The 21,486-nt window shown below is 40.0% G+C and overlaps 1 protein-coding gene and 1 long non-coding RNA gene across 52 annotated transcripts in view; one reads left to right on the plus strand and one right to left on the minus strand.

The window, feature by feature from the left end:
- Positions 1 to 11,051, plus strand: part of NEK11 (NIMA related kinase 11) — a 323,589-nt gene extending 312,538 nt beyond the window's left edge. For 50 of the 51 annotated variants that reach the window (NM_001353038.2, NM_001353022.2, NM_001353023.2 and 47 more), the window contains one exon: positions 10,143 to 11,051. In NM_001353038.2, coding sequence (NP_001339967.1) covers positions 10,143 to 10,362 — 220 coding nt within the window. In that variant the 3' untranslated portion in view covers positions 10,363 to 11,051. Of the gene's footprint in view, positions 1 to 2,643; positions 2,929 to 10,142 lie in introns of all 51 variants that reach the window. The other variant, XR_001740271.2, reaches the window with a different exon arrangement.
- Positions 1 to 21,486, minus strand: part of NUDT16-DT (NUDT16 divergent transcript) — a 56,384-nt gene that overhangs the window by 14,323 nt on the left and 20,575 nt on the right. The gene's annotated exons all lie outside the window — the stretch shown is intronic.

A 21,486-nucleotide genomic window follows, 5' to 3' on the forward strand; every position in this document is an offset into this window, starting at 1 on the left:
GCCACCCAGAAAGTTGGTGGCAGAATCCCAGCCAGCACTTAGAGTGTCTAACGGGGCTTCGGTCTTTTCACTGTGCTCATCTTTGCAGCCCCTGAACCTTATCCTAAGAAGCTAACAGCTGCTTTGAGAAGTGATTTCTTCAGCTGTGTGAATGTACCCTTCACTGGTGGGATTTATAAAGTGTGATGGTGGGGGTACAGGGAAATATTTGGGACAAAGCATTGTATTCTGAGCTTCTGGAAACTCACTTCACAAGCTGCTTCCCTTCCCTAAGAGGAGTCCTTGTTTCTTACAGTAAACAGGAACAGGAACAGATTGCATGGAAGAATCATTAGTAGGCACCTGGAAGTGGCAAGATCCCTCTCCTGTTACTATCAAAGCTTTGTTTTTACCCAAGAGCAGTAAGAACCTTCTTGAACTGGTGTAGGTGGAGCTCTCTAATAATACCCCAAGATAATGAAAGACACTACTCCTGAAGTCATCCTTTAGGCTAATACATAAAAGGATGGATGACCAGAGGGTAAGAGCTGGTAAATCCCAAAGGCGTGAGCAATGCAAATTGAGGGACATTCTAGCATCCAGATCATTGAAGGAAACTAAAGAGACATGACAAGTAAATGGAACTCATGATTATTTTGAATGCTTTGTTATCAGGCAGTGTTATTGGACAATTGGGGGAAATCTGAATGTTTCCATATACAAGATAACAGAATCAGATCTATTAATGTGAATTTCCTGATTCTGGTGGCAGTTTTGTGGTTATGTAGAAGTGTTTTTATTCGTACAAAATACACACAAAGTATGAGTGGGGGACATTGGGGTAGCAACTTATTCTCAAAAGACTCAGGGACAAAATAGTTCTTTATACTATTCCTGTAACTTTTCTGTAAGTATGGGATTCAAAATTAAAATAATATTTAAAATATGAGGACATTTTAGATATTATCCTTATAAAACTAAGCAGCTATGGCTGTATTCTTTAGAGCCCTTATTAGATAGAGATAAATAATTAGAGGGTACACAGCATAGTCTATAATTGATGGGCAAATAAGTAGATGTGATAAAATGTATTTTTTTATAAATGAAAGGTAAGCACAGGAAGAGGTAATAAAGGAATTTGGAGGATGAGAGATTGAGTTTGGAGGAAATGGGCAGGGGAGAGAAGAAGAGCTTTCTTGGTGTTTAATAGTTTTTCATCAGCAAGGGAGTCAGCCAAACACGTATTCGGGATGTGACCCCAAGCAGTTCAAATTTTGGAACATTAGGGAACCTTCCTTCAGGACTCCTGTGTCAAGGGACCATTATCCAGCCCAACGAGCACTGTCCTGAGAGTCCTGAAACCTGGACTCTAGTCCCCTATTTGTCCCCAACTGCCAATTCAATCTTGGGCAAAACAACCTGTAAATGAAGTATTTGGACTAAAATGATGTTTGACAATCCCTAAAAAACTTAAAAGGCTTTTGTTTCTTGAAGAAAATGATAAAATTTAGAAAGGAAATGCACCATAGAAAGAAATAGAAAACAATGAAAATATAAATTCTTTTTATTTGAGATACCCAGCTAACTAAAGGAATAGTTCCTGCCACCCCATGTCCCTCTCTTTGAAAAAGGAAACATAGGAACTCTTTTAATTTGAACAGCACAGAGAATACTGCCCTCCCTTCTCACATCTTAGATAACAGCAAGAGAGTCCTCTTAAATTGAATTTCTATTTATGAATCTAAAAATTCAAATGCATCATTGCAGAATATAGTGTGTTTTCCAAATATCAGAATAAATTTACACGGCAATATTCCAAGACTAGAACACCTATAGCTTTTCTGTCAGCCTAAAATGAGTTTGTTTATGGAATGACTGATTTTGTTTTTGACCCGTAATTTATTTAGAATGTATTATTTTAAAATTTACTCACATGTGTAAATGTTTAATCTTTATTTTTATTACAGATTTCTAACAATTTTATTGTGGTCAGACACTAGATTTTATATGAAACCAATTATTCAGCATTTATTGAGGGTTAAATTGTCTAGCACATGGTCAGTTTTCGCAAATGTTACATGAGAGCCTGGGAAGAATGTCTTGCTCTATGTGTATCTATTAAGTTCAGCTTATTAAGTATGTTATTCAGATATTTTCTATCATTACTAATATTTTGAATGCTTCACTTATCAATAACTGAGCAAGGTATATTAAAATCCAGCATTGTGAGAATATATCTGACAGTTTCTCTTTGTAGTCCTCTATGTATTTTGATTCTGTTTTATTAGATGCATGCTCATTTAGAATTCTTTTTTTCTTCTTTGTGAATTGAATTATTATGTAGTGACTTTCTTTATCTCTAATAATGCTTTTTTAACTTAAAATGTATTTTTATCATATTAATATGGCTACCCTAGATTTCTTTTGGTTATTATTTGCCTGGTAGCTTTGTCAAAAATTATTTTACTTTCAATCTTTCAATGCCATCATGTTATGGGTATATTTCTTGTAACAACACCTAGCTGGATTTTGTTTTTTAGTCAGTGAGTCTAGTCCATTTACATTTATTATAATTATGAATGATGGTGGGTATTTAAGTCACAATTAAAATAATCCTTTTAGAAATGGTTTTTAACAGTATATTAAACCAACATTTGCACTCAGGATCCTGCCCAGAGTGAACTGAGAAAGAGGGAAGTGCCATTGACAGAAAGAGGCCTTCAAGGCACGTGCTCTATCTGGGCACGCTGCAGGCTATGGAAGCCTCTACCAGTTCACCTGCCTGCTTCTGGAGAGAGAGCTGTTCTGTCTTTGCCCACCTGATTCAGAGACAGCCATTTGAAACACTACACATGGAGAATTTTAAACCTCTTTCTGTAAAATGTATCCTTAATGAAGATTCCGGATGCTTGTTAGCACCAAATGATTGTTGAAATGACGATATTAAAGGTAAAATACATTGTACCATTCCATTCCTGCAGTGACTCACACATATTTGATGTGCAGGGATTTCTTACATTCCACAAAATCATTTTCAGGGTTTCCTTAAACTATGCCTGTGTTCTCTTAAGGCTTTCTGGTAAACCAGGTTTTCATGATTATTTCTAAGAAATTACATGTTTTTCACTCCCACTGTGTCACTAGTCTCCTGGTGTCTTTTTTTTTTTTTTCAAATTCATCCAGAGAAGTTAAAAAATCTAAAATAGTATCTTAACCAAGATAGAGCTACAAAATTGTTTGAGGCTTCCAGTTTAACAGAAATAGGATTGCTATGCAATTCACCACTGAGAAAGCAACAATAACGTACATGATAGTAAATAATACCTAGCATGATAAGAGGTGTGTGTGTGTGTATATGTATGCATGTATGTCTGTGTATGAAATCCCCACTTAAATATAAGAAACCGAAGACATAGAAAATTTAAGTATTTTACTCCATTCCGATACTATAACAAAATACTTCAGGCTGGCCAATTTATACACAATAGGAATTTTATGATAAATGACTTTTACCTCAATTTTTAAAAAAGAAAAAATATATGTATACAAAGAAGTGACCAGGGGAATTGGCCATATGAAAGTCATTGATACCATAGTGAGAGTAGTTTCAGGGAAAAAGAGAGGGCCAAGACTCAAGAGGAGTGGATTCAGAAAGAGTGTGCAGTAAAAAAGCAACAAACATAACTCTTTCAAGAAGTTTTGTTGGGAATAGAGATCAAAGTGATGGGTTGAGAAGGGGATGAGCCTTGGGGGATGTGGAGGTTAAAGGAGGTTTTATTGTTTAGGAAAAGATATAGCAGGTCATGTGTGTACCCTAACAGGAATGATCTAGTAGAGGTAGAAAGTGATTGTGAGGTAAAGAGAGAAGATGACTGCAGGAGGGAATGTCACTGTGATGGTGACAGAGGCCAGGATCCAGAGCACTCAGGTAGAGTTTTGTCTTTGATAGGAGCAGGGAGGATCCCTTAATTAGGCACAGAAGAGGAGGCCAAGTATATAGTTACTGATCCAAATAAGTGGGCAGTTTGAATACTGGGAAAATGGAATGTTTATGTGATTGTTTTGGTTTTCCATTTGAGAAAACAGGTGAAGTCATTGGCTGAGAACTAGGGTGAGGGTCCAACCTTACATTCTCCTTCCACACTGCCCTAGTAGAGTATCTCTGTGAGGGCTTCACCCCAGCAGCAGGCTTCTGTCTGAACACCAGGCTTTTGCGTACATTCTCTGAAACCTAGGAAGATGCTTCCAAGCCACTTTCACTCTTGCATTCTGTGCACCTGCAGGCTTAACACCATGTAGAAGCTGCCAGAGCTTATGGCTTGCACCCTCTGGAGCTCTGGCCTAAGCTGGACCTCTTTGAACCAAGGCTGAAACCAGAGCAGCTGGGATGTGAGGAGCAGTGTCCCGAGGCTGTGCAGGGCAGTGGGTCCCTGAGCCTGGCTCCTGAACCCATTCTTCCCTCCTAGGCCTCTGGGCCTGTCATGGGAGGGGCTGCCATGAATATCACTGAAATGCCTTTGAGGCCTCTTCCTCATTGTCTGGATATTTACACTTAACCCACTTTTAGGTATGCAAATATCTCTAGCAGGTGGTTGCTCCATAGCCTGCTTGAATTTCTCTCCCCCAAAAAAGCTTTTTCTTTCTTTGTCACATGGCTAGGCTGCAAATTTTCCAAACTTTTATGCTATCCTTCCCTTTTAAATATAAATTCCAAATTTTGTCATTTCTTTGCTCCAATATCTGGACATAGGTTGTTAGAAGCAGCCAGGACACATCTTGAAGGCTTTGCTGCTTAGAAATTTCTTCCACCAGATACCCTCAATCATCACTTTGAAGTTCAAACTTCCACAGATCCCTAGGGCATAGACAGAATGCAGCTAAGCTCTTTGGTAAGGCATAACACCTGTGACCTTTGCTCCAGTTCCCAATAAGTTCCTCATTTCCATCTGACACCTTGTCAGCCTGGACTTCACTGTTCATATCACTATCAGCATTTTGGTCACAACCATTTAACCAGTCTCTAAGAAGTTCTAAACTTTTCCTCATCTTCCTCTCTTCTTCTGAGCCATGTGAATTCTTCCAATTTCTGCCCATTACCCAGGTTCCAAAGGTGCTTCCACACTTTCAGGAATCTTTATAGCAATGCCCCTCTCCTTGGTATCAATTTTCTGTATTAGGCTATTTGTTGCATTGCTATAAAGAAATATCTGAGACTGGGTAATTTATAAAGAAAGAAGTTTAATTGGCTTATGGTTTTCCAGCCTGTACAAGCATAGCACCAACATCTGCTTGGCTTCTGGGAAGGCCTTAGCGAGCTTTTACTTATGGCAGAAGGGGAAGTGGGAGCAGGCATGTAACATAGCAAAAGCAAGAGAGAGAGTGGGGAGGGGAGAGGTGCCACACTTTAGAATAACCAGATCTTGTGAGAATTCATTCCCTATCACAAGGACAGCACCAAGCCATGAGGGAACAGCTCCCAAGACCCAAACACCTACCACCAGGCCCCACCGCCAACAGTGGAGATTACAATTCAACATGAGATTTGCACAGGGACAGATATCCAAACTATATCAGTCCCTTATAATCCTTTTTTATTTCTGATGCATCTGTTGTGATGTCTCCACTTTTATTTCTGATTTGATTTATTATTTGCATCTTTTCTTTTTTTCATAGTCTAGCTAGGGCTTTGTCAATTGTGTTTTGTTTTTCAAATGACCAACTCTTGGTTTGATTAATTTTTTTCTATGTTTTTTATTCCCTATTTATTTTTATTCTGATCTTTTGCAAAAATAAATTAATGGGAGTATGTAAAACTAAAAAGATTCTACACAGCAAAGGAAACAATTAACAAAGGAAAAGACAACCTACAGACTGGGAAAAAATATTTGCAAACCACATATCTAATAAGTGGTTAATATCCAAAATTTATAAAAACTCTTACAACTTAACTGCAAAAAACCAAATAACTCAATTTTTAAAATGGCCAGAGGATCTGAACAGATATCTCTCCAAAGATGACATAAAAATGGCCAACGGATATGAAAAGGTGCTCAGGGTCACTAATCATTAGGAAAATGCAAATTAAAACCTATGAAATATCACCTCACACCCCTAAGAATGTCTGTTATCAAAAAGAAGAAATAACAAATGTTGGTGTGGAGAAAAGAGAACCCTAATATATACTGCTGGGGGACAGTAGACTGGTACAGCCACTATGGAAAACAATATAGAGGTTCCTAAAGAAATTAAAAGTATAACTACCAATGACCCAGCAATCCCTCTTCTGGGTATATACCCAAAGGAGAAGAAAATACCACCCCATAAAGATATCTCCCATGTTCATTCCAACATTGTTCACAATAGCCAAGATATGGAAACAATCTAAATGTCTATCAATGGAGAAGTGGATAAAGAAAGTGTGGCATATATATACAATGGAATATTATTCAGCCTTATAAAAGGATATCCTGTCATTTGCCATAACATGGATAGACCTGGAGGACATTACGCTAAGTGAAAAATAGCCAGACATAGGAATAAAAATATTGCATGACCTCAATTATATATGGAATATTTAAAAAAAAAAAGAGCTCAAGTACACAGAGATAGAGAATGAAACAACGGTTACCTCAGGCAGGGTTGGTAGGGGAGAGGAAATGAGGGAATGTAGGTCAAAGGATACAAAACAGTAGATACGTAGGATGGACAAGTCTAGAGATCTAATGTCAATATGAGGACTAAAATTAATAAAATTATATTGTATTGGGAATTTTTGTTAAATAAGTAGATTTTAGCTGTTCTTGTCATAAAAAAGTAACTATGTGAGGTCATAGATATATTAATCTGCTTCACTATAGTAACCATTTTATTATCTATATGTATCCCAAAACATCATGTTGTAAACCTCAAATATACACAATAAAATTTAAAAATCAAAAATAAAATATTTTTTAAAAGAATAAAGGAAAACATTTGAAGTAGTCATTTTGGGAGGAAAATAAACATACTGGGGAAACACGGTAAGATTGCTGGGCAGTGCTGAGTGCCATTCTGAATCAAGATTATCATCTTAAATGAGAGACTTGGTATATTTGGATGCTTTTCTCCATAAATATTCTCTTGTTTGGGTACAGCCATGGAGTAGGTATACGACTGAGTTTAACCATTAGGTCTTTGCCAAACAAAGGGAAAGGGGTGGAAAAAGTCAAAGGTATTTGCGAGATAATGGTTATGATGATGGGCCATGAAATTAACTGTGAGGAGGTAGGTGAGGAGTGAGTATATGAGGTTACAAAAGAAGTGAGTAATTATTATCATGGGGGTAGAGTCGAAGTGAAGGGCACCATGAAGTGGAAGATTAGCTGGTAAGTATGGTGGGAGGGCATTGAGGGGGTGATTAGAGAGTAGGAGGCTTGAAATCAATTTCAGAGGTCATGTAGTCATTGGCACTGATGAGGTCAATTGATATGATCATGGGAATGGGCAACTCAGGTAGGGTAAAAGAAATGATGGCTGAATGCGAGGCAGTTCAAAACCAGAGACAGCAAGAATACAGAAGTTAAGAATGATGACAAGAGTACAAGGTGGAAGAAAGAGTGGGCTAGTCACTGAAGTAATCAGTGTATGAAGAGAATGACCAGGGTTTGGTAGATGTCAGCAAAAGAAACACCTGGATTTTGTGGGGGTGACTGAGGTGACTAGGGATGTTAGGCATGCTGGAATCAGTCCTGACAATCTCATGACAGAAGGTGGGAAACTTATTGTGGAGCCTAGGGCTGCTGGTTTCTCCAGCATCTGGTGTTTTAAGATCAGCATTTGAGTCCAAACTCTACCACACTAACTGTGTGAGCTTGTGAAAGGCTACGAAAAACCTGCTTATTCTCATCTGTAAAATGAAGACAAATGTTCAATGAATTGCCTAGTTCATAAGGAGCATTTGAAATAATGAATGCAAAAGCACTTTGCAAGCTCTAAAGGGCTATAGAAATGTTAGTTAAAATTAAAAATTTATGTCTTGCATTGTCATGACCAGCCTTTAAACCAGAGCTAGAAGAATTACCTATTCATCTCTTTATCGGCCACAATACGTAACACATATCCTATGATTTAGAGATTACAAGCTTGAATAACACTGAACAATAAAAGCTTATAAAATGAATGAGTCTGTGACTAATGTCTCCAATGTTATTATCAACATTACCATCATTACTGTTAAGCATTAATGCTTCAAAAATTGTGAAAAAAGGCCGGACACGGTGGCTCACACCTGTAATCCCAGCACTTTGGGAGGCCAAGGTGGGCCTGTAATGCCAGCACTTTGGGATCACCTGAGGTCAGGAATTCGAGACCAGCCTGGCCAACATGGTGAAATCCCATCTCTACCAATATTACAAAAATTAGCCAGGCGTGGTGGCAGGCACCTGTAATCCCAGCTACTCGGGAGGCTGAGGCAGGAGAATCGCTTGAACCTGGGAGGCAGAGGATGCAGTGAGCTGAGATCACACCAGTGCAGAGACTTCATCTCCAAAAAAAAAAAATACACATCCTGGTTTTTCTTTTTACCAAATCCATTGAAATGAAGAAAAAGTAATATTTCTTCAAGTTAAAGTCACACAAATATTTATACACTTTGACCTAATAATCTCATTCCCATAACATTTTTATCATTTAATCAAGCACAACATATATTTACTCTTTTCTCTGTTCTTCAGAGAAAAGTGCAGAAACCATAAGTACACATATAAATTTTTAGAGTGAACACACACATAATAGCCCAACTCCTAAAAATTTGATGTCATAAAATATTCCCCTAAAATGTAAAAGCCTAATATCTAAAGATGAGGTATTCACACTATGTTATAGTGCAAAGGAGCAAAAAAAAGCTCATTGTTTGGTGAAGGGAAAATGGAGTAAATATTGGCACATAAATTCAGTGGAACAATATGGAGCCATTAAAAACGACAACCGTGAAGAACCGCAAAACAAAATCCACCAACTTGAATGCCCTTGAGTTAAGTGGGTAGAAGAACTATGAGAAGGAGCCTGGTATAAGATGATAAAAGATAGGGGAGGTAGGTCAAAGACGGTCAGAAAATGCAGAGTACAGAGTGCTTGCAGGCCCCACATAAAGACATTCACATTAAAACATTTAAAAATAATAAAGGAAGATAAAACATGGTATTGAAAAACAAAACATGTTATGGACCAAATGTTGCCCATAGGTCTTTAGTTTGTGACCCTTTCTGGAGATAGAGGAAAATAGTCAACGGTGAAATAAACATACTAGATATGGCAATATGATTATAACATAAAGATTATGTTGACATATGGACAATCACTGGAAGTGTGGAAAAAATGAATGTCGGCCTTGGTGGAAACTTGGCCAAATAACTTTACCCCTTTTAAGCCTCAGTTTCTTCATCTGTAAAATAGGGATTTAAAAAATTGCCTCCTTCGTACAGCTGTTGTAAAGGTTAAGTGTGATTGAAAGGGCAAAGTGAGTAGAAAAGGACCTGGCAAGTGGCAAACAAAACTATTCTCCCCCTCATTTTCCTCCTCCTCCTCCTCATTATTATTTTGTTATTATTAACTATTTCTGCATTTTATATCCCACCATCCTGTTTCCCTTTGTTCTACTAACTCCAGCCACAATAGCTTTCTTGTTATTTTTCCAATATGTTTTAGCCTTAGGGCCAAAATTCTTTTGCCCCTAGTATTTGTCTTACTTCCTGAGAGCTTTTGCTCAAATGACACTTCCTCAGAAGGATTTTCCTGTCCGCCTCACCCTGCTTTTTCTTCATTGCACTTAGAACCATCTGATATCTTATGTGTATATGTGTATATATACATACGTTTATATAAACACATCTGTGTGTATATCTGTGTATTATATATATATACACACACAAGGGCAGGACTTTGCCTAACTTGTTTACTGCTATATTCCCAGTTCCTTGAAGGGTACCTGGCACATAATAGACATTGAGGCATTATTTGTTGAATACTGTTAAATGTTTAGGGTGGAGATATTGTGCCTTTTCTTCCCCCTTTTTTTCTAAATCCCAGAATGACAATGTTTGTAAAATCAATGATTTAAAAGCACATTTTCCTGCAGGTGATCTTAATGTGTAACTCTTTGTAATCTTTTGTAACTTTTTTGACAGATCAGCCATGCAGAAGCTGGGGACAGAAGTATTTGAAGAGGTCTATAATTACCTCAAGAGAGCAAGGCATCAGAATGCTAGCGAAGCAGAGATCCGCGAGTGTTTGGAAAAAGTGGTGCCTCAAGCCAGCGACTGTTTTGAAGTGGACCAGCTCCTGTACTTTGAAGAGCAGTTGCTGATCACGATGGGAAAAGAACCTACTCTCCAGAACCATCTCTAGGCAACTATCAAAAAGAAGCAGAAGTTCAAGTGGACAAATTTATGTGAAAATTCATTTAACATATAAGCTGAACTCTATTATGGGGAATGGATACAAAAGCAGAGCTCCCATCTTGACTTTCAATTCCTCATCAGAAGTACTGGCTTCTTTAGAGAGTAGTAAGCATGGCTGCCTATGCTTGGAGTCATAAGTGTTATTTGGACTATACCCTGAGATAAGCTTATAGATCAAGTTTGGCTCCCTTGAAAAGCATTTCTCTCATGTGCGCCCTCAGGGCTTCCAGCAGGATTGAGTCACCCTGACGATGACCGGGGAGAAGCCGTGTGCTCTTCATTATTTTCAGCTGGAGGACAGAGCTCAGTGCCTGACTGCCTAGGGTCTCATGGACTGTAGGCAGCCTGCCAGTGAAGGTCACTGGACTCTAGCCTACAACATGCTGAGCTACAGCCCAGAAGCCAGACATGCCTGTCTTAGCTGACCTGTTTTTGGTCCACTTTTGCCCTTCCATGACTAATAAGGAAGATATGTGTGTATTTCATACACACACAAGGACCTGGATTAAAAATCCAAAAAGTGATTCTCTTCTATGATTTATTTCAAACTCATCCATAGATAATTCAAGATTTGTATTCAAAATAAACATAGTTTTCACAGTTACAAAATAAATCACCTATTTTATCTTTTCCTTATGTAAAACTTTCTTATTGAATGTAACATATCCATCCTTTGATAATTATTACTTAGAGCCAGTAATATTTGGTTAATTTGGTGCCTGTTGGGTACTAGTACTGTGCTTAGTAGTTTAAGGGCCTTCATTGGATCTTTTCACTAACTTGAGAGAGATAGAGTGAAAGAGAGAGAAAGAGAGAGAGAGAGACAACAGAGAAAGAGAGATGCTCAGGTTAGGTAATTTGCTTAGTCACTCAGCTGCAAGAAGCAGAGTTGGCATTTGAAACTAGGTCTGTCGCATTCCAGAATCCATACTCTTAACCAGTGTCTATCAGAATTTTCAACCATGGAACTATATTAGATTTGCTTGTGAAGCTTTTTAAACATAGACACATTTAAATATACTGTTAATGAAAAAATTATTGACACTTATTGAAATGGCAAAAAGACTGTAATCAGGACTATTTTGATAGGTATCAACAATATTGCAATATGGGAGAGGCATTGGGCTCAACTCTGAAGTTTCTTTGCTGAAGCAAAGAAAACTAGAGATTAATAGCCAATTAGCAGGATACGGGCCTTGGTGGATGGAAAATTTCTAAAAGGAGTATTCAAAGGTTGGGGGTTGTATTCATCTGTTTAGTGTTGCCATAAAAGAATACCAGAAGCTGAGTAATTTATAAAGAAAAGAAGTTTATGTAGCTCACGGTTTTGTAGGCTGAGAAGTTCAACGGCATGGCCCTGGCTTCTGGCAAAAGCTGTTGTGTTCCATCACAACACGGCAATGAAGGGGAAGTGGACAAGTAGGAAGACAGAGAAACCTGAGGGGTGTCCTGGCATTATAACACCCACCCTTTGGGGAAATAATCCATTCCTTCAAGAAACAATCCAGCCTAGAGAGCAAGAACTCCAGAGCAGTAGCAAGCTATTTTTCAGGGTGCTCCCCCATAATCCAAACATTTTCCACTAGGCCCCACCTCCCAACATCACCACTTTGGGGATCAAATTTCAACATAAGTTTTGGAGCAGGCAAATATTCACACCATAGCAGGGAGATTCCTGCTAAACTGACTTAAGATTCCCACTGGAGGAAGGCCAGGGTCATCAGAGATTGAGGGCAGGTGATGAGGAATTTGATCAGATACTGAGGGTGATCAGCTATCAAATGTGGGGTATTCTCAATAAACTGACTTTACCAGAATTCTTGCTAAAACTGGGTTTGGCAGGCTGAAGACAGAGCCAAGAATGAGGCCTCATAAAAAAGAGGGCTCAAAAGAGCCTGTCTAAAGTTTGGTCGAGGAGATAATCTTTGTCAATACCAAGACCCACCCCACTCCCTTCTCTGGGAAGACAAGGGGCTAAAACATATCTATTGTTTCAGAACTGTCTGGGTGAATTTGATGCCCACAGTACTGTTATTCACTTTTCAGCCTCCTGCTGATGACTGAGGAAACTAAGAGAGTTTCTTTATCTTACTAACTTGTTTTCAGTGGTGCTGTGCTTCCTGCATGATGCACTCTTTTAGACCAGTGATTCCCACATTTGAGCATGCATTCGAATCACCTGGAGTGCTTGTTGAAGCATAGATTGGTGGATTCCATCACCAGCATTTCTGATTCAAGAGATCACGGTTTCTAACATGTTTCCAGGTGGTGCCAGTGCCACTGGTACCACACAGAACAATTGTTCAAGACCTTTCTTTCTGTTGTCTCTCTTCTCCCCCTCCCTCTTTTTGGAACAGTGTTTTGGCTGCTCTTAATTGGGGGCTTAATTAATCTCACATCTTGGAAGGTGGTATGAGGACTTCCAAGAAGGGTCCAAAGACTTCAAATGCTTCACAGTGAATATAAGCAAGTAGTGACTGGGGTGGAGTGGTAGGTGAGTCAGTGTGAATAACTTGAGAGAACTTAATGGGCTTATTTTAAGGACAAAGGGGCATGGCCACTGTGCCCTAACACTCTATCCTGTGGCTTCACTTCTATCCCTGCCCAGCAACCAAAGGAACCACCCAGGTGAACCCACAATTTCTCTAGTGCTCAAGGGTTATGAACATCACTCTTCTGAGTTCCCACAACTCCCTTACACTATAGAGAGGTTTTGGGGGCTGCACAAAACTTCATTCTGCCTCTTCCCAAAGCTAATGATGCCCATTCTCACCCTCTCTCCCTGCATACTGGAGAATTATTCCTGGCTGGGAGGCTGGGGGTCAGGAGCATGTCTGTGCTCTCACAGCCCCTGTGTCTGCAGCAGGAAAAGCAGACCTCAAATACTGCTTCTGGAGGTGGGATCTGAGACTTTTCAGAATTTGGAACTTGAGTGTGTTTCCCAGGTCAAAATCTACGACCCGTGGTTGTTGCCATGGTAGAACACTGAAAATCAGGTTTGCCCTGGGAAACCTAGGATGATGGGGGCATGTGACCACACTGCTGCTGACAGCAGGCATGCAAATTGCCATCACATTAACAGGGAAGAGACCTCACCCCAGAAAATGCTCCCCAGAGCTCACATGCCCTTTTGTGACCAACCAGATTGCAAATATGACTGGAAGAGCGGGGACCATAATATTACCCCAGTTAATAAAAATTGCCCAATCTTCTTGTCGATGGTTTTTATAACATTAGAACAGAACAAAACTTGTGTGCTGGGTCCTAAGAGGAAATAGCTAGATTTTCAAATAGTTTCTTTCACAAACAGATTCACCTTCCTATCTTGCATTTCAGAACATGGTTCTTAGAAGACAGGTGCAGACTAAAAACAGCTTACTCTCCAGGGATTTGTGTTATGCACTTCATCAGGCTCAAAAGAAAAAAGAGCTAGGAAGAAATATCATTTTGAATCATAGCTCCATGCCTCTAAAGAGAAGCTCACTCAAGTTTACTTTCATTTGGTTCACTGGGGTGGGAGTGGGGAAGAAGATTTAACATTACTTGAATGTTAAATCTTTTACTTATCACCACTGAGAAAATGCTTTCTCTTTCAGCTGTACTCAGTCTTAATTTTGAACCACTTCAAATTGTATTAGTAACGATCCAACTGCAAGATGGTGGGGGAAATTGACTAAGGAGTTAAACTAGGAAGTTTCTTGTTATGAAACAGTCACAGGTATGAGCAAATAAAGGGATCCTGCTAGCTTGCTGCTTTGTAAAAAAAAATATATATATACATATATATTTCAAAAATGCCAGTTGACCTTTCTGCTTTCTATTTATACAGAGGAAATGCCACCAGCTATTTTGGGTGATGCAGAGATAAAGCACACAAAGGAGAGTGCTGGAAGTTAATTATTTAATGTCTTTGGGGCTGAAGTTGGAGCAAAGCCCTAGGTATATTTTAAGAGTCCAGCCATCACAGTGGGCTCAGAGTAAAGGAGGCTGACAAATTAAGCAGTAGCTCAACAGGGGGAAATATACCACATTCCTCTTTCAAGATGATGGGTTCACTAGCTAGTGTATCAGAAGGGAATGGGGCCAGGCCACTAAGGTGATAAACAGAAACAGGCAAAGAGAAGGAGAAAGTGTGGGGCTGGGGGAAGGAGAGAGGCACGGGTGGACACAGAGCAAAACAAATGTTTTAAAGTACTTCTGCCACACCTGTGTAAGGAAAAAAATTGAACTTGATAGCAGATGACTTGGATTCCAGGCCTACTCTTACCATTTACTGTGTGATCTAAAGCAACTAAGTGATTTCCCCTGAATCTGTTTCCTGCCTGTGTCTGAAGATTGCTGTAAAGAATAAATAATACAATAGGTTGAATCACATGAAATTGCCACCGTGATTCAGCCTAATGTGTAGAAGTGCTTTAAATGCCATAAAATGTTCTCAACTTTGAGGAAAAAAAATCATTAAATGTATTATCAAGCTACCTCATCTTCCACCATTGGAGATTCATCCCTGAAGACTCCCTTAGGTTTCTAGGCTTCTATAATTACCATCCAAATGCACCCTGAAAGATAAACACTTTTAGCCATTTTCAGCTAGCACTTGACCAGAAATTAGCTGAGAGCCAGCTAAGAGCTGACAGAACCATGAGGAAGACAGCTCTGGAAGGCAAGTCAGTGGACTCTCCAGACCAGCCTTGCTTTCTTTCAGTGCCTCAACTCACTTCATGAGTCTGCAACACCACAGTGTTCATCATTGCCAGAAATCTTAGGATGCTCAAGTTTTTTCCTTAACTTTAGAAGGAAGTTCAGAAATTTGGTTCAACAAATATACATTATAAAATAATACACAAATATTCACTAGGAGTACCACAGTTATTAACATTTATACAGAATTGAAAACTTGACACCAATAGGAATATTTTCTTTTTTATTTCATTTATTTGTTTATTTTTGAGACAGAGTCCCATTCTGTTGCCCAGGCTAAAGCGGAGTGGTGCGATCTCGGCTCACCACAACCTCCGCCTCCCGGCTTCAAGCGATTCACCTGCCTCAGCCTCCTGAGTAGCTGGGATTACAGGCAAGTGCCACCACACCTGGCTATTATTTTTTGTACTTTTAGTATAGCCAGGGTTTCACCATGTTGTCCAGGCTGGTCTTGAACTCCTGACCTCAGGTGATCCGTCTGCCTCGGCCTCCCAAAGTGCTGGGATTACACGCATGAGCCACTGCACCTGGCCCCAGCAGGAATATTTTCAAAGTAGATTTTTAGGTTTAGTTCAGGAGACAATCTTTCAACAGCTAGAAACATTCTTTTTCCTTCCCAAAATTTTGTGGCTTTTCCCACTTTGATAGTTTGAATTTTTAGTCCCAATTTACCCCTCCCTAAACCCCTGACTATTGCCTTATAACTTTGTAGTTCTCAATATTTCCCCACTCCTTGACTCTGAGTTTGGCCATGGAACTTGTTTTGGCTGAGGAATATACTAAGGGGCTGGAAACATGTCGGTGCAGTTGGATATGTTCTCTTGCATCTCCCTCATCACCAGCCAGCCTATCATAGGAGGATGACAGAGATGGAACAGAGCCACACCAGCCAACCCACAGAGTGACGCAAAGTCATCTCAGCCACTGCAGGCAAAGCAGAGCCGCTCCAGGGGACATAAAACTCCCAGGCAAGAGATACATATTTCTTGCTGCATGCTATTCAGGATTTGTGGTTGGTTGTTATGTGGCATTATTATGTCAATAAGCTAACCAACATGTCTTCCTTCTCCTGACATCACTCTTTATTCCTCCTCCAACACTTTTTTTTTTTTATCAAATCCTTGGGCTTGTAAAAAATTTTTTTGGCATTGATTTTTATAAATCTGGAGGAAGTTTGTCTCCAACTATATTATTCTGTGGCTTCTTAGACAAAATATGGATACCCTTTTTCAATATGGCCCAGGTGAGCCACAAACTCTGACTTTCCTGGCCTTCAGCATATTTCAAGGTAATGTGGGATGATAGCATGGAGCCTACCTGGACTATCCCTTCTAATTCTATTCTTTGGATTTCAGCTCAACGTGTGTTGAGCTCCCATTCTGTACTAGGCACTAAGTATAAGCACACAATTTTGAATGATAAGAATTCACCAGACAAAAGAGAGGAAAAGATCTTGCAGGCATGAGGAACACAAAGATGGAAGACACAGCCCTATAGGTTCTGGGAATCTGAAATCTTTTGGTGCTGGTGGAACATGAAATATGAGAGTGATAATGTCAGGTTTAGCGAGAAGGGGATAGTGGCCAGCCTCCAACATGACTTCCAGTGATTCTCACTTCTGGTATTCACGTCCTGTGTAGATCCTTCCCACACTGCCTCGGGGCGGCCTGTGTGACCAACAGAATAATGTAGAAGTGATGGTGTGTGACTTCTGAGACTAGGTCATAAAACACATGGATTTCATCTGTATCACCCACACTGGAGGACGCCAGCCACTGTGTTGTAAGAACATGTAGGCAACCCTATGGAGAGATCTATGGGATAAAAAATTGAGACATTTTGCCAACAGCCAGCACCACCTTGCCAGCTGTGTCAGTGAGATATGGGAAGCATATTCTCCAGCCCTGGTCAAGCCTACATTTGACTACAGATCTGGCTGACATCTGGACTAAAACCTCATGAGAAACTCTAAGCTAGAACCACCCCCTTTTAATTCCTGACCTACAGACACTGTGAAATAATGAATGTTTCTTTTGATGGTGTTAACACATTTTACAGTATGTTTCAGCAAAACATCACCAATACAGAAGGCAAAGCTCAGATACATGCTGTCACATTTGCTCTGCTGTGTCCTGTATTTAGGGGCAGCCACTGCAAAGTTATTGATGAACATGATCTTTAGCTGTATCATGGCACTGGGTGGAGAGCAGGTTTGAAAAGGGTGAGACTGGAAGCAGGACAGAAAGGCAGGAGGTTTGTCCAGGTGAGAAAAGATGAAGGCCTGACTTGCATCTGATGAAGTCAAGACATCCTGAGGGGAGATCATGAGAGAGAACTGAGGACTGACTGGATGGGTAGAGGAGTGATGGAGTGGTCTGTGAGGACTGGTAGTTTTACAGCACAGGTGACTGGGCAGGAGACAGGTCATTCACAGAGCTGGTGATACAGGAAGACATGCAGATTGGGCGGCTGGAAAAATACTGAGTTCATTCCTGGGTGTTTTGAGTTTGGGGTGCTTGTGGGGTATTCAATTAAACAGGTCTAGGTGGCCAGGCTCAGTGGCTCACGCCTGTAATTCCAGCACTTTGGGAGGCCGAGGTGGGTGGATCACGAGGTCAGGTGTTCGAAACCAACCTGGCCAACATGGTGAAACTCCATCTCTACTAAAATACAAAAACTAGCCAGGCATGGCAGCAGGCGCCTGAAATTCCGGCTACTGGGGAGGGCAAGGCAGGAGAATTGCTTGAACCTGGGAGATGGAGAATTGCTTGAACCTGGGAGATGGAGAATTGCTTGAACCTAGGAGATGGAGAATTGCTTGAACCTGGGAGATGGAGAATTGCTTGAACCTGGGAGATGGAGTGCATCACACCATGCACTCCAGCCTGAGTGACAGAGTGAGACTCAGTCTCAAAATATAAATAAATAAATAAATAAATAAATAAATAAATAAATAAATAAGGTCTAGGCACAGAGCTTCAGGTGTCTGAAAAATTCTGTCCTGATAGTGTGAAATGGATCTACTTAATGAACTCCGGATAACAGAGCAGTGGATAGTTTTGATGCTATACCTGCAAATAACCAAAAACAGTGTTAGCTTCTAGAAAATGCACCTCCTTTAAGGCTCCTGAATGGGATTTTAGGTTATGTGAATGCTTAATAATAATAAGCAACAGCATCTAGCACTTTCAGGAAGTAATTGGGTAAAATTACAGCCTCTAGCTGATAGCTCTCTGCTGGTAGCATCTCCTCCCCACTCCCACCATGGTATAGTCTTCTAAATTAGTAGTTCTCAACCTTGGCTCTGCATTCAAAGCACCTGGAAAATTTCATGAGGATTAAGTGGAATGGTTTAAAAATAACTGTCAGATGGCAGATGTTTGCTGTCAGTTTCTTCCTGCCTAAAAAGTGAGACTACACTCTTACCTCTCTCCCTCTCCTGAACCAAAGGGGATCCTCTCATTGAAAGAGTTTTGTACAATGCAAAACTTTATTTAAATATATGTATCTCTAAAAGATAACTCTTTTAAGAAACATAGCCACAATACTATCACATCTCAATTATCCATAATTCCTGTATATAAAATATCCAATCAGTATTCTCCTGTCCCTCACTATTTGAATTTGTTTGTTCAAATTAGAATAAAGCCCAGGTGCTTCAATTGATATGTCTCCTCAATCTCTTTTAATGTATAGAGTCTACCACCATATTTCTTTTTCCCTTGTAATTCATTTACTACTGAAACCAGGTCATTTTTCTTGTAAACTTTCAGTCTAGGATTTACTGATTGCATCCTCATGTGTTTTAAAAACAAACTTTTAAAAAAGTTTTACATTTGCAGGCCAGGTGCAGTGGCTCACGCCTGTAATCCTAATATTTTAGGAAGTGCAGGTGGGAAGATAGCTCGAGGTCAGGAGTTGGAGACCAGCTTGGGCAATATACTGAGACCTCCTCTATATATTTTTTAAAGTTTTTTATATTTACAGGAAAAGCGTGGAGATAGTACCTAGAGTTCCCATTACTCCACCTAATTTACTCTGTAATTAACATCTTACATTATTATGGTACATTTCTTGCAATAATGAACCAATTTTGATACATTATCATTAGACAAAGTCTATACCTTATTCAGATTTATCTAATCCAGTTAGTCATGTCATGTGTCCTTAGGCTAGTCTTTGTTGTGAGAGTTTCTCAGACTTTCATTGTATTTCATGATTGCTATCAACTGAATATTTTTGTTCCCCCTAAATTCATATGTTGAAATCCTAACTCCCAATTTATTGGCATTTGGAAGTAGGGCCTTTGGGAGGTGATTAGGTCATGAGGGCAGGGGCCTCACAAATTAGATTAGTGACTTTATAAAAGAGGTGTGTACATATCTACAAATATTTCCCTATATAAACATATGTAGCTATATTAAGTTAAACATGAGTTAATACTGATGTCTCCAACTCGAATCCACTATTACATGGATCATTCTAGTCTCTTCCTGATATTTTAAAAAGGGGCACCTTTATATTTCTTATAACTGGTATTTAGGTTGAGATTCAACTTCAATTTTGTGCAAGAAAAATTAATAGGAGGTGATGTCTTCTTCCATCATGAAGTGCACAGTAACTGGTTGCCTTTTCATGATTTTAGCAAACATTGATGATCATTCCCTAGGATCCATTAATTCTTTAAAGTTTAAAAAAAATTGTAAAATTTTGATTGGCTCCTTCTTCTTTGATTAGCTAGAATACTTATAAAATTTCCTCTCATCAACTATTTAGTAGCCCTGAGGAAGAGCCCATATAAAAAAGGCAGGATGGGCTGGGCGCTGTGGCTCACACCTGTAATCCCAGCACTTTGGGAGGCCAAGGTGGACAGATCACATGAGGTCAGGAGTTCAAAACCAACCTGGCCAACATAGCGAAACCCTGTCTCTACTCAAAATACAAAAATTAGCTGGGCGTGATGGTGGGCACCTGTAAGCCCAGCTACTCAGGGAGGCTGAGGCATGAGAATCACTTGAAGCTGGGAGGCAGAGGTTGCAGTGAGCCGAGATTGCGCCACTGCACTCCAGCCTGGGTGACAGAGCAAGACTCCATCTCAAATAAATAAATAAATAAATAAAATTTAAAAGCATGATAAATGTTTAATTCTTTTCCTCATTATTTTAAAAATGAATTGGTTCCTTAGCATCCTCCCAGACTGACCACAGAGCTATTTTTGATTCCACGTACCGCCATGAACTTGAAGCAGCTTTTTAGGTACACTGCTCAGCCCTCTACCTCCAGCCTTGAGTCCTGGGCATTCTGCCTCAGGATAGTGAATGGGGGATGGTTGGCGGAGGTGGGGAGGTGAGGCAGAAGCAGAGAGGGATTTGAAAGGGATGGCAAAGTTGGGGGTTCTTATGGGCTTCCATTTTCTTCATCCAGAAAAAGCTCTGGTCTCCAAAGCATTAATTCCTGTATAGCTGTTGCCTTGGCTTTTATAGATTTTCATGTTGCCTTATAAATAGTTGAGTCCATCTTTAAAAGTCTCTTCAAGCAACCAGGAAAGAAAGAACAGCCTGAAGATCTGGAAAGGGCATGTTTAACCCTAAATCCTTAAAAGTAGCTAATCTAGGAGAGAAGGTTACCTTTGAAATGCTGGGGAGAGGGGTAGATCACCTCTTCTCCACCTTGGCTATTAGTTACCTGAAACATCTTTGAAAAGCCACATGTCCCTGTATTACCTCCACAGATTCTGATTCAGTTGCTCTGGCTGGAACCCGGAAATTGGCAGTTGCTATCCGCTTTTAGAGCAAGGTGAGTGTAACATGAAGCCAGGGCCATTTCCAAGTCCCCAGAATGATAGCAGGCCAACATGGATTGTGTCACACCTACAGCTTTATCACCTTGATCTGCCCATCTGATGTTAGTATTTGGCATCTCCACCCTGCAACTCAGAAGACTAAGCTAGGAAAAATGATGCCTAACAGTTTTCATCCCTGCTTGAAACACTGGGGCCTTGATGAGTGTGGCTCAGTTCCAACTCCTGGGTCTTTAACATAACACACAGCAGCGTGTCCCAACCCTCGACTCCAAGAATGGATACATTTATTTTCTGCCTTGCACTGTTCTAAGTGCTTTACATATCTCAACATCCCTAATAGGTTGGTATCATCTCCACTTAACAGATGAGCTGCTGGGATCTGAGAGAGTTAAGTGACTTGTTAAGGGCACAAACCTGTTTCTGGGTGGGTCCGGACTCTTTCCCACCATATGCCGTCACTTACAGGCTGTGAGTTTATGCCCAGCCCCCCTCAAGGAGCTGCCTCCTGCTTTCTATTGCATAATCAATATCGACACCTGGTGTAGGGGCGCTCTGCACGGTGGGGAA

The sequence above is a fragment of the Homo sapiens genome, chromosome 3 (assembly GCF_000001405.40).
Source record: "Homo sapiens chromosome 3, GRCh38.p14 Primary Assembly".
Lineage (NCBI taxonomy): Eukaryota > Metazoa > Chordata > Mammalia > Primates > Hominidae > Homo > Homo sapiens.